This window comes from Homo sapiens, chromosome 14, assembly GCF_000001405.40.
Source record: "Homo sapiens chromosome 14, GRCh38.p14 Primary Assembly".
Classification (NCBI taxonomy): domain Eukaryota; kingdom Metazoa; phylum Chordata; class Mammalia; order Primates; family Hominidae; genus Homo; species Homo sapiens.
The window spans coordinates 103,646,886-103,660,983 of NC_000014.9; the positions used below are offsets into that span (position 1 = coordinate 103,646,886).

The window sequence follows — 14,098 nt, forward strand, 5'->3', positions numbered from 1 at the left end:
ACACACATCAGCCACAGTGTCCAGCATAAGAACTATTTCTATTTTTCATATTACCTCTGCTTGGATTACTTTAGAGGTAAAGCAACTGAATATACAAATTCATATTTATGTCTGGTGTTTTTGTCAGAGCTGAGTGGTAGAACTTTCGTTGTAGTCTGTATATTAGGTTTTATTGCATGCCATCTCTTTTCAGTTACACGGGTACAAATCCTTACCTGTCAAGTAGGATGTTGAATAATACAAACATGCTACAGTTACCTTGTCTATCCGAACTGTTAAGCCTTATTTCAAGTTTGAGCATGGGTTTTTTATTTACTTTCTTTATCCAGAAACTTTTTTTTTATTTTTATTTTTTTGAGACGGAGTGTTGCTCTGTCACCCAGGCTGGAGTGCAGTGGCAGGATCTCGGCTTACTGCAACCTCCACTTTCCAGGTTCAAGCGATTCTCCTGCCTCAGCCTCCTGAGTAGCTGAGACTACAGGTGTGTGCCACCACACCCAGCTAATTTTTGTATTTTTTTTTTTACTAGAGATGGGGTTTTGCCATGTTGACCAGGCTGGTCTTGAACTCCTGACCTCAAGTAATCCGCCTGCCTGGGCCTCCCAAAGTGGTGGGATTACAGGGAGAGCCACTGTGCCTTACCCAGAAACTTTTTTGTTATTGTTTCTTATATTTCCAAAAGGCAGGTAAGCCTTTTGAAAGGATGGCATGGCCAGGCATGGTGGCTCACGCCTGTAATCCCAACACTTTGGGAAGCCAAGGTGGGCAGATCCCAAGGTCAAGAGATCAAGACCATCCTGGCATACATGGTAAAACCCCATCTCTACTAAAAATACAAAAATTAGCTGAGCATGGTGGTGTGTTCCTGTAGTTCTAGCTACTTGGGAGGCTGAGGCAGGAGAATCGCTTGAACCTGGGAGGTGGAGGTTGCATTGAGCCGAGATTGTGCAACTGCACTCCAGCCTGGCGACAGAGCAAGACTCCATCTCAAAAAAAAAAAAAAAGAATAGCATTTCCTAATTTCTGTCCCAGTGGGTAGTTTGTAAAAGACCAGGTCTATTTGTATTGGGTTTTTTTTTCTTTTGAGACGGAGTCTCGCTCTTTTGGCAGGCTGGAGTGCAGTGGCGCGATCTCGGCTCACTGCAACCTCTGCCTCCCAGATTCAAGCAATTCTTCTGCCTCAAGCTCCCGAGTAGCTGGGACTACAGGTGCACGCCACCACGCCTGGCTAATTTTTGTATTTTTATTAGAGACGGGGTTTCACCATGTTGGCCAGGATGGTCTCAATCTCTTGACCTCGTGATTTGCCTGCCTTGGCCTCCCAAAGTGCTGGGATTACAGGCGTGAGCCACCGCGCCCAGCCTGTATTGTTTTTCAAATGACATTTTAAAAAGAGTAAAAATTGTTTTATTTCTAGGTTACAAAATGCTACAGACAGGATTTTAACATTTATTTTGATTTATTTTTTACTCCTGGCAAGTTGCGATACAGGTATTTAATCAGAGGTCCCAATGTGGAGCCTGACAGGATAGGTTCTTAACATTCTCAATTTATGTCCTCAGAATGTGGTAGTACGAAAGAATGATTGAAGTAAATCTTTGGACTTGAGACTTGTGGCCTGGCATGGTGGCTCATGCCTGTAATCGCAGCACTTTCGGAGGGTGAAGTGGACAGGTCACTTGAGCCTAGGAGTTGAAGGCCAGCCTCGGCAACATGGCAAGACCCTCTCTACAGAAAATAAAAAGAAAATAAAAAAGAAAGAAAAATTAGCCAGGCTTGGCGGCACGCACCTGTAGTCCCAACTACGTGGGAGACTGAGGTGGGAGGATCACTTGAGCCCAGGAGGTGGAGGTTGTAATGAGCCAAGATCATGCCACTGCACTTCAGCCTGGGTGACAGAGTGAGACCCTGTCTCAGACAAAAAAGGAGAATCATGTATGTTAAAAATACATGTCAAAATGGCACAGTGGGCTGGGTGCAGTGGCTCATGCCTGTAATCCCAGTTCTTTGGGAGGCCGAGGCGGGCAGATCACCTGAGCTCAGGAGTTTGAGACCAGCCTGGGCAACATGGCGAAACTGTGTCTCTACTAAAAATACAAAAGTTAGCTGGGTATGGTGGTGCATGCCTGTAGTCCCAGCTACTTGGGAGGCTGATGTGGGAGGATCGCTTGAGCCCGGGATGCGGAAGTTGCAGTGAGCCAAAATAGTGCCATTGCAGCCCACCCTGGGTGATAGAATGAGAGCCTGTCTTAAAAAAAAACAAAGAAACAGTACAGTGACAATTGCCTATACTCCTAGCTCCTTGGGAGACTGAAGGTGGGGAATTGCTTGAGTCTAGGAGTGCAAGTCCAGCCTGGGCAACATAGCAAGACCCCATCTCTAAAAGAAAGAGAAAAACATGAAAACCACAATACTATATAATTGCAAAAGTTGAGTCACTATCTAAAATAATGTAAACAAAATGAGTTCTAAAATAAAAATAACAATTATAGGGTTTTTTTGGTCTTCATTATGTTAGGTAGTGACTTACAGTCTGTAGACACAGTACATAATTTGTTAGGGGCCTGGTGTGATAGCTCATACCCATATCTCCAGCACTTTGGGAGGCCAAGGTGGGAGGATCACTGGAGCCCAAGAGTTTTAGACCAGCCTGGGCAACATGGTGAGACCTCATCTCAAAAAAAAAAAAAAAAAAAAAAGAATTTGTTAGGTTTACTTGAATCCTGAGACTTTAAATTTAGTAGACTGTAATAGCTTTGCCTGTTGAACAATAGCCTTAAAGAGGTTTGACCCTAAAAAGGGCTTCTTATGTGTTTTTTTTTTTTTTCGAGACGGAGTCTCGCTCTGTCGCCCAGGCTGGAGTGCAGTGGCGCCATCTCGGCTCACTGCAAGCTTCGTCTCCCGGGTTCACGCCATTCTCCTGCCTCAGCCTCCGGAGTAGCTGGGACTACAGGCGCCCACCATCGCGCCCGGCTAATTTTTTGTATTTTTAGTAGAGACGGGGTTTCACCGTGTTAGCCAGGGTGGTCTCGATCTCCTGACCTCGTGATCCGCCCGCCTCCACCTCCCAAAGTGCTGGGATTACAGGCGTGAGCCACCGTGCCCGGCAGCTTCTTGTGTTTTGGGAGCTTAATTCAGATGTTAGATTTATCAGGTTTTACACTGGAGATTTTGCATTGAGTTCTTTTGGTCTCACGGAGTAAATAATGGAACTTTAAATAGGACTTTTTTTTTTTAAGGAATAAAAGCATAATAAAAAAAGTTCATAGTTAGAATAACCTGGGGCCAGATAGCTTGTGTGTCAGTCAGAGGGAAAGAGGGAAGGGAGTATTTCTGAGCCTGTACTATTGTTCCAGGTCAGGTGGGTATCAATTTCACTTGACGTACAGGGAGACTGAGCCTCCACCACACCCCAGGGTAGGTGAGAAGAAGATGCATTAGCTCCAAAGCTGCTTCATTCATTCATTGCACACATCTTTATTGCATGCCCGTGGGTTGCTAGGCATTGTTTTGGCTGATTCCTTGTTCCATTGAATCATCTCCAGGCATACACGGCATGAGAGTTGGAAGATGGTCCAGTGATGGTGTGATTTATAGGCTGGCAAAATGTTTGAGTCAACTTAGATACTGAGTAATTTTTACCTTGCAGAAATCAGTAAATCAGTGTTACCTGTTACTTAGCGGTAGCCTGTATACTTTTTTTTTTTTTTTTTGAGATGGAGTCTCACTCTTGCCCAGGCTGGAGTGCAGTGGTGCGATCTCAGCTCACTGCAACCTCTGCCTACCGGGTTCAAGCGATTCTTCTACCTCAACCTCCCGAGTAGCTGGGATTGCAGGCACCTGCCACCACGCCTGGCTAATTTTTTGTATTTTTAGTAGAGACGGGGTTTCACCATGTTGGCCAGGCTTGTCTGGAACTCCTGACCTAAGTGATCTGCTTACCTGGGCCTCCCAAAGTGCTGGGATTACAGGCGTGAACCACCAAGCCCAGCCGCCTGTATACTTTTGAATTCTTCATCTTGAGGAGCTGCAAGATAGTTTTCCCTCAGAAACGCATTTTGTTTCTGCATCAAACTTGAAAAATGTCCTAAGTAGACTTGTCAGTCGTTTACAGTTTTATACCTTATTTATTTATTTATTTAGTGATGGAGTCTTGCTCTGTCGCCCAGGCTGGAGTGCAGTGGTGAGATCTCCGCTCACTGCAACCTCCACCTCCTGAGTTCAAGTGATTCTCCTGCCTCAGCCTCCATAATAGCTGGGATTACAGGTGTGCACCACCACGCCCGGCTAATTTTTTGTATTTTTAGTAGAAACGGGTTTCACCATGTTGGCCAGGCTGGTCTTGAACTCTTGACCTCGTGATCCGCCAGCCTCGGCCTCCCAGAGTGCTAGGATTACAGGCGTCGGCCACCGCGCCCAGCTTGCCATTACTTTTATTCATAGAATGATCTTTAGTTTGACCTACGTGCATATAGACTTTTGCCTGTATTTCCTTCTAGTTTCTTGGTTTTTTTTTAATTTAGTTATTAATCTGGAATTCATGTTAGTATATAGTGAGTGTAGGAGTTTAACTTTATTTTATTTTTCCTAAATAGCCAGTTGCCTTGGCACCGTTTATTATATAAGCTGTCTTTGGTTATAATGGCTTAGCCTAGAAATGGTGAGAGGTATCGAGTCTAAATATACATGCCGCTGTCTGTTTCCCTCTGAAGAAGTGGCACGTGTACTTAACATCTATACCATGGTCACCTGGGGGGCAGGTTTCTTGTGCTCTCACTCCGTGCTGCTCCTCTAGCCTTGGTACTGGGTCTGGCTTTGCAGTGATGAGCAGCTGCTCACCAGCAGTGGGTGCCGTCACACCTCTGCCTCAGCTCCCCTTTGCTGCCGGGCTGGCAGTGCCCTTAGCAATCTTAGTAGCCCTTACTAGCCTTGAGAGGTGCTACTTGATAACACTGGCTTCCCTTGGGAGTGGTTTCTTCTGTCTGGCCTTCGTCTCTCAGTTGGCCATTGCCCCCCACCACCGTGTTCCGCCACACAGCCACTGTCCCTGAGCCTTCAGGTCTTTGTGCACCTGCTTGTGTAGCTTGTCTTCTGCTAGCTTGCATGTCCCCAAGGGCGAGGCCCTTATTAATCTGTACATTCCAGGGCTTAGCTCAGAGTAAGTTTTAGTAAAACACTTGCATCTGCTAGTTTGGGAAACATAAAAGAATATATGTTGCATCATTTGGATATAATACATAAATACTTTGCTGTCAGGGTGGAAAAACAGGCCTTAAGTTTTATTTTCCTCCTCCTGAAGACCCTTCCCTTCAGTCATAGGAACCTCAAAGATGTTCAGATCAACACTTTAACCTAGTACATTTTAATCTTGTTTGTTGAAAACTGGTCCTTAAGTGTTTTCTTTCACTCATTTTACAAATGTGTATTGAGTGCCAGGCCGGGGATATATCATGGAACAGTATGGATGAGGTCCCTAGTGGAGCAGCAGTATCACTCAGCAATATATTCCCAGCCTGGCACACCATGGATTTGCTACAGTGAAGCTGGAGAGCCCTGTGTTAAATAAATACTAACAGTTAACATACTGTCAGGTAGAGGAGTGGCCTTTGTTCTTTTTTTTTTTTGAGACAGAATCTTCCTCTGTTGCCCAGGCTGGAGTGCAGTGGCGCGATCTCGGCTCACTGCAACTCCTGCCTCCTGGCTTCAAGCGATTCTCCTGCCTCAGCCTCCTGAGTAGCTGGGAGTACAGGCGAGCGCCATCAGGCTCGGCTGATTTTTGTATTTTTAGTAGAGACGGGGGTTTCACCATATTGGCCAGGCTGGTCTCGAACTCTTGACCTCGTGATCTGCCCGCCTTCGCCTCCCAAAGTGCTGGGATTACAGGCATGAGCCACCGTGCCCGGTCGGCGTTTGTTGTTTTGTTGTTTTCTGGCCTCTTTGTTAGTGGAGTGGAGGTGGATTTCTGAATAGTCTTACAGACAACTTCCAAATTTTAAAAGGAATTCAGTCTTCATATGTATGGAAAAAGAAAATCATTTTTCCAGTGTGTGATGCAGAGACTAACGTGACCCTATTCTCAAGCACTCATAGCTTCACCCCAAAATCCTGGAATATATAGTCTGTATCTGCTGATTCAGCTTTTCTTCCCTTCATGCAGCGTCTGTCAGTCCATCCATTCACTACATGGACTTTCTGGGCCAGGAGCTGCCTCTAGAAGCTGTGGAGTCCTACAAGATCAAGTCCCTGCCTTTTTTCTTTTTTTGGGAATTTTTTAAAGAGACAGGGTCTTGCTCCGTCACCCAGGCTAGAGTGCAGAGGTACCATCATAGCTGACTGTCACCTCAAATTCCTGGACTCAAGCGATCCTTGTGCCTCACTGAGCCTCCTGGGTAGCAAGGAATACCTGCACATACCACCCAGCTAATTTTACTTCATTTATTTTTATTTATTTATTTAGGCAGAGTCTCGCTCTGTCACCCAGGCTGGAGTGCAGTAGTGAGATCTTGGCTCACTGCAACCTCTGCCTCCCGGGCTCAAGTGATTCTCGTGCCTCAGCCCCCTGAGTAGCTGGGACCACAGGCGTGTGCCAGCACACTCACCTAATTTTTGTATTTTTAGTTGAGACAGGGTTTCGCCGTGTTGGCCGGCTGGTTTTGAACTCCTGCCATCAAGTGATCCGCCTGCCTTGGCCTCCCAAAGTGCTGGAATTATAGGAATGAGCCACCATGCCTGGCTGTCCTGCCTTTTTAAATAAGAGCTTATATTCAAGGTGACATTAGACACTTAATGAATCGTGAGATTTTAGACAGTGGCAGTGCTGTGAAGGAAATAACTCTGACGTGTAATCTTGCCTCCATCCCTGTCACTGTGCCGAAAAAGATCACTGCTCACTATCTTTCTGTTTTTTAAACTTAACTATGGGTTTTTAAGACTTAGAAAAAAGGAGAGAGGCTAGCAGAGGGAACCATTGCTCAGTGACAGCGGCTGTCAGGCACAACAGCACAAATGATGCTGTTTTTATATTCCCCTTTCCTCCCCCTTTTCTTTCTCACTTTGGTGTTTGAAAGCCCCTTCCAGACATTGCATCACATCACCCTGGGCCTGGCCCTGGTGGTGCTTCGCTGTGCCATCCTCATCTGTGAGCCTGCCCGGTGACCGTGCTGCACCTGTCCTTGATGCCCTGTGTCTTCCAGGTCTGCTCCTCCCCTGCTGCTCTTCCTGTTCCATGTTCTTTGGCTGGTTTTTCTTTCTTCTTCCAGCTGTGTGACTCCTTTTCAAGCCTTTGTCCAGTTAAACATTTTACCAAGAATGTAGTGTTCTTCCTGCATTTCATTAGGAAGAGAAAAAGGCTTGCAAACATTCTGAGAAAAAATGTTGTTCACCGAGGCTATGTGTTTTGGAAATGCCATTTAGATGTTTTGCTGCTTTTAATCTTTGGCATTAATTTCAGTTGCTGTCATAAAAAAGAATTAAGACATAAACCAGAAAAGTAATTAAATGTGTCTGCAAAGGAAAAACAGAAACTGCAGAATATGGTATTTCAAGGTCATAAATTACAAATGTGCATATTTATTATTCCCCTATAAAATGTTAATTAAAAAATTTTCATATTTACTTGATGTAACAGAAATGAAACCTGTAATGAGGGATCTAATTTCTTTTTCTTTTTTCATTCCAGAATGTATGACAACATGTCCACAATGGTGTACATAAAGGAAGACAAGTTGGAGAAGCTTACACAGGATGAAATTATTTCTAAGACAAAGCAAGTAATTCAGGGGCTGGAAGCTTTGAAGAATGAGCACAATTCCATTTTACAAAGTTTGCTGGAGACACTGAAGTGTTTGAAGAAAGATGATGAAAGTAATTTGGTGGAGGAGAAATCAAACATGATCCGGAAGTCACTGGAGATGTTGGAGCTCGGCCTGAGTGAGGCACAGGTACGAGTGAGAATGACTCAGACGTTATCAGGAACTTTTGATGGTAAAATGGAGACTTGTTTGAAATAAGCAGTTTCACTAAAGAAGAGGAAAGATGATTATAGAATAACAGATCCAGGCCGAGTGCGGTGTGGCTCAGGCCTGTAATCCAAGCACTTTGGGAGGCTGAGGCAGGTGGATCACTTGAGGTCAGGAGTTTGAGACCAGCCTGGCCAACATAGCGAAACCCTGACTCTACTAAAAATACAAAAATTAGCCGGGCCTGGTGGCTGGCGTGTGTAATCCAGCTACTAGGCAGGCTTGAGGCAGGAGAATCACTTGAACCTGGGAGGCAGAGGTTGCAGGGAGCCAAAATTGCATCACTGCACTCCAGCCTGGGTGACAGAGCGAGACTTTTTCTCAAAGAAAAAACAAAACAAAACAGATCATGTGTTCTGTATGTTAATAAATTACTATTGATTTGGGCCTATCAGAATTGTATTGATTGATTGATTGAGATGGAGTTTTGCTCTTGCTGCCCAGGCTGGAGTGCAGTGATGCAGTCTCGGCTCACTGCATCCTCTGCCTCCTGGGCTCAAATGATTCTCCTGCCTCAGCCTCCCAAGTAGCTGGGATTACAGGCATGGGCCACCACACCTGGCTAATTTTGTATTTTTAGTAGAGACAGGGTTTCTCCATGTTGGTTAGGCTGGTCTTGAACTCCCAACCTCACGTGATCCACCTGCCTCAGCAAAGTGTTGGGATTACAGGCGCGAGCCACCATGCCCGGCCTCTGAATTTTATTTTTATTTTTATTTTTTTGAGACAGTGTTTGCTCTCGCCGCCCAGGCTGGAGTGCAATGGCTCAATCTCAGATCACTGCAACCTCTGTCCCCCGGGTTCAAGTGATTCTCCTGCCTCAGCCTCCCAAGTAGCTGGGATTACAGGCACATACCACCATTCCTGGCTAATTTTTTGTATTTTTAGTAGAAACTAAAATGTTGGCCAGGCTGGTCTTGAACTCCTGACCTCAGGGCCTCTCTGAATTTTGAAAAGCGGATCCAAAATAGTGGATACTGCTGTGTATCATTTAGGATTTGATTTGGCTGCCAGTATCAAAAAAACAAAAACAGTGGCTTAAACCACAAGATGTTTGTCAAATAAGTACTGAGGTACACTCTCCTGGACGGGTTCTGTAGCTACACAGTCATCGGGGATACTCAGGTTCCTAACATCTGCCACACTGCACCTTGGCAGCCTGTCTTGGGGACTGAGAGTGAGCTCCATGTGGCCCTGTTCTAGCATAGGGGAAGGGAAAGGAAGGACGTGCCTCCTTCCTTGAAGGCTGCTGCTTTGATGATGTGTACAGCAGTGCTTACATTGCATTGGCCAGACCTTATGGCTGTACCTGGGTGAGTGGGAGACTGGGGAATGTTGTCTTCCCACTTACAGTGGCAGGTCCTTAAGCCTAAGGAAGGAGAATGGACACTGGCCAGTGGGTGATGGTCTCTGCAATCCCAGGGCCAGATTGCTTCATATCTTTGACTAACCTTTGTTTCTATAATATCATGCTTGACATAGAGATGAAAACACTGGAAACATCTAGGTTTTTAAATACTCTCTCCTGATAACTTCTGGCTCTGTCAGCATATCTTAGGTAAAATTAAATATACCAAAGCTTTGCTTCTTTCTTAGCATTCTCTAGTTTAGTGAGTGAATAGAGCAGAAGAGGGGCTGCTGGCCAGCGGTTTCTGCTTTCATAGAGGAAGTGACTGCCCACACCCTGATTTTAGAGTCTTCATCCTAACCATGTTACAGCCTTGAGTTGCAGAACTGTAGCTCTGTTTGGATATTGTGAACGTATTATTTCTCAAGTTCTGTTACCTTGAGAACAGGTGACATGAATTTAAACTTGCTTTTTTGGTGTCGCAGATAAGAGTTTTAAAAAAAGAAGGAAGAAAAGGTCCCACCTTCTGGAGTTTCAGGTTTTAAACCTAGGAGGATAATAACCTGGTTATTATGTTATGAGAGGGATGGGCAGATGTATGTTCTAAAGAGAGAACAGATTGCTGCCAGCCAGCTCCTAGCTGTTTGTGCTCTTATGCTCCTAGGAACTTGCCACAGCCTCACGCTGGTCTGTTCCAGAAACCAGTGAGCACTCTGTAGGCAGAGCCCTGGAGTGGCCCCTGGATTTTATGACATAAACATAAGCTTATGAGTGCACCAGTGCATTCTTACTCTTGGTGGTAGCTACAGAGATGTCTTCTCTCACCTTGGAACATCAAGGAAGATTTGTATGTGCACTGTTCTCTGACCCCCACTTGCAGCCCTTCACCAACATGCACTCTGTGCGCAGACATGCATGTGTGTACACGAGGTCTTACACATGGGAAAGGGTCTATAAAAAATTATGTTGGGCCCATCTTGATAGAAAGTAAAATAATACAGTTTCATCAGAAGGGTAGCTGTGTTTTCATTGCTAGTTCATTTGGCATGCTCTTCAAAAAAATAAGTATTTTTTTGTAGGCATTCTGAGCGTGTGATATTCTTTATCATACCCTGCTTTGTAGTCTGTGGCTGAAGGGGAAAAGAGAAGTAAATGGCAGATTGTACTTATATGTACTTTGGAGAAAATATCTGCGAGTGTAAGCTACAGCCCCAGCCACAGAATGTTCGCACGGGTGGGAGGGACTCTTGCTGGACAACGTGCCACAGTGCTGCACACGTTTCTGTCTGCTCAGGTTATGATGGCTTTGTCAAATCACCTGAATGCTGTGGAGTCCGAGAAGCAGAAACTGCGTGCGCAGGTTCGTCGTCTGTGCCAGGAGAATCAGTGGCTACGGGATGAACTGGCCAACACGCAGCAGAAACTGCAGAAGAGTGAGCAGTCTGTGGCTCAACTGGAGGAGGAGAAGAAGCATCTGGAGTTTATGAATCAGCTAAAAAAATATGATGACGACATTTCCCCATCCGTGAGTGGCTCTGTAGCAAATGTGGTGCTAATGTTTAAAATGGAGTCACTGGGAAAGTCATAGAGGTTCTGTTTGCCATATTCTTTTCATATTAGAACATATTAGAACATTAGAACATGCAAAAATGTTTTGTAAATATAAGCCACAATCCAGAGAGACACCATTACCTTCAACAAGGTCTGCCCCGAGGTCTGTCCCGAGGTCTGCCCCAGCTTAGGCTCTGGAGCTTCCTTGCCCCTCTGTAGCTTGGCTTCCATGCCATCAGCTGCTGGTCTAGCAGTGGTCCAATCTGGCCGTCTGAATTTGGACTCTGGGCAACCTCTCTGCCCCTTAGGGTGGGTGCTCTTGGCATTGCCATTCTCTTTGAAACTCCCCTGGCCCTCTGGACACCACCTGGCTCTCTTGCCGCCTCTCTCATCCTCCCCTTGGCTTCCCTTGCCAGCTTATCTTTCTGTATCTGCAGGGGAAGAAACGATCTTGGTTTTCTTCTTCTTCTTTTTTTTACAAGGAGTCTCGCTCTGTCACTCAGGCTGGAGTGCAATGGCACAATCTTGGCTTACTGCAACCTCCATCTCCCGGGTTCATGTGATTCTCCTGCCTCAGCCTCTGGAGTAGCTGGGATTACAGGTGTGTGACACCATGCCCAGCTAAGTTTTTTTTTTTTTTTTTTTTTTTTTTAGTAGAGATGAGGTTTCACTGTTTTGGCCAGGCTGGTCTTGAACTCCTGGCCTCAAGTGATCTGCCCACCTCAGCCTCCCAAAGTGCTGGTATTCCAGGTGGGAGCCACCATGCCCAGCCTTCTTTCTCTGTTGGCTCTATTTGGATGTTTATCCTAGTCTCAGTTATTTTTCATTCAACATTTATTTCTGATTCAGTTAACTTTTTTTTTTTTTTTTTTTGAGATGGAGTCTCACTCTGTCACCCAGGCTGGAGTGCAGTGGCACGATCTTGGCTCACTGCAACCTCCACCTCCCGGGCTCCAGCGATTCTCCTGCCTCAGCCTCCCGAGTAGCTGGGACTACAGGTGTGTGCCACCACGCCTGGCCAATTTTTTGTATTTTTAGTAGAGATAGGGTTTCATTGCGTTAGCCAGGATGGTCTTGATCTCCTGACCTTGTGATCTGCCTGCCTCGGCCTCCCAAAGTGCTGGGATTACAGGTGTGAGCCACTGCGCCCAGCCAGTTAACTTCTTTTTATTTTTTTTTTTACTTTTTTTTTGAGACGAAGTCTCGCTTTTGTACCCCAGGCTGGAGTGCAATGGCGCGATCTTGGCTCACTGCAGCCTCCACCTCCTGGGTTCAAGCGATTCTCCCTTCTCAGCCTTCCAAGTAGCTGGGATTACAGGTGCGTACCGCCACGACTGGCTAATTTTTGTATTTTAAGTAGAGATGGGGTTTCACCATGTTGGCCACTCCTGACCTCAGGTCATCCCCCCGCCTCGGCCTCCCAAAGTGCTGGGATTACAGGCGTGAGCCACCACGACCGGCTTCAGTTAACTTCTTTTTAAAGAAAATTTCTAAATTTTGGAATTATTTTATTTTACTTATTTTTAATTTTAAAAATTTTACCCTCCTCTCAAGTTTCCAATGGAATAATTTTAAATTGATTGAAAAGTTGAAAAGTTAGAGAAGAAAATTGATGTGCCCATAACCCAGTCTCCCCTGATCGTCCATAATCATAGAACAGTGGTCAGAACTAAGATATTAACATCAACACTTTACTGTTAACTGAAACACAGACTTGGTTGGATGTCACCAGGCCTTCCACTAGTATCTCTTTTCTGTGCTAGGACCTAGTCCAGTGTTCCACATTGCATTTGGAACTAACGTTTTTTAAATACCTGTATGATGCCAGACATGTTCATGTACATAATCAGAATACTAGAGAGGTGCACATTTGTGTGTCTCGTTCGAATCCCCATCCTAAGACTACTGAAACAGTTTTTTGCGTAGCACCAGCAAACCTGCATTTCCCCTCTGTCTTCATCTGCTTGGGCTACTGTAACAAATACCACGGGCTGGATGGCTTAACATTTATTTTCTCATAGTTCTGGAAGTCCGAGATCAGGGTACCAGCAGGGTCCGGTTCTGGGGAGGGCCTTCTTTCTGGCTTGCAGACTGCTGCCATCTCTTTGTGTTCTCATATGGTACAGAGAGAGAGGGAGTAAGCTCTCTGGTGTCTCTTTTTATGAGGGCACTAATCCCATCATGAGGGCCCCACACTTTCGAGCTCATCTTATCCTGATCACCTCCCAAAGGTTTCATCTCTAAATACCATTACACTGGGGGTTAGGGCTTTAACATAGGAATTTGGGGAGAACACAGTTTAGTTGACAGCATGCTATTTCAAAAGGCTTACCAAAATCCTCCCTCACATCTCCTCTAGGTTAGGGGCCAACTAAATGTTTTGATTTAAAAGATGTGGCTGGGCGCAGTGGCTCATGCCTGTAATCCCAGCCCTTAGGGAGGCCGAGGCAGGCAGATCACCTGAGGTCAGGAGTTGGAGGACAGCCTGGCCAATATAGTGAAACCCTATCTCTACTAAAAATACAAAAATTAGCCAAGCATGGTGGCACATACCTGTAATCCCAGCTACTCAGGAGGCTGAGGCAGGAGAATCGCTTAAACCCAGGAGATGGAGGTTGCAGTGAGCCAAGATCATGCCACCGCACTCCAGTCTAGATGACAGAGTAAAGCTCTGTCTCAAAAAAGAAAAAAAAAAAAAAAATTAAGGCCGATGCGGTGGCTCATGCCTGTAATCCCAACATTTTGGGAGGCTGAAGCGGGTGGATTACCTGAGGCCAGGAGTTCAAGACCAGCCTGGCCAACATAGCAAAACCCCTTCTCTATTAAAAAATACAAAAAAATTAGCTGGGTGTGGTAGAGTGCACCTGTGGTCCCAGCTACTTGGGAGGCTGAGGCATGGAATTGTTTGAACCTGGGAGTTGGAGGTTGCAGTGAGCCAAGATCATGCCGCTGTACTCCAGCTTGGGTGGCAGAGGGAGACCCTGTCTCAGAAAAACAAGCAATAAATAAATAAATAAATAAATAAATAAAAGATGCTTGCTCTAGAGTGCTATGGAAATGCAAGTACTTTGCAGATGTCGATGCCAGCAGTGATTGACCTGGGACATTGGAGGATGTTGAGAAGAAGAAAACTGGTTTCGTAGGATCGGAGACTTTTAAAATTTATTATTTTGAAAAAGTG

The 14,098-nt window shown here is 45.4% G+C and overlaps 1 protein-coding gene across 32 annotated transcripts in view; it reads left to right on the plus strand.

Moving 5' to 3' along the window:
* The window catches only part of KLC1 (kinesin light chain 1), a 72,334-nt gene that overhangs the window by 17,675 nt on the left and 40,561 nt on the right, over window positions 1-14,098 (plus strand). For all 32 annotated transcript variants that reach the window (NM_001394832.1, NM_001394836.1, NM_001394846.1 and 29 more), the window contains exons 2-3: window positions 7,679-7,940; window positions 10,661-10,891. In NM_001394832.1, the coding sequence (NP_001381761.1) occupies window positions 7,680-7,940; window positions 10,661-10,891 (492 nt within the window). In that variant the 5' untranslated portion in view covers window position 7,679. The remainder of the gene's footprint in view (window positions 1-7,678; window positions 7,941-10,660; window positions 10,892-14,098) is intronic.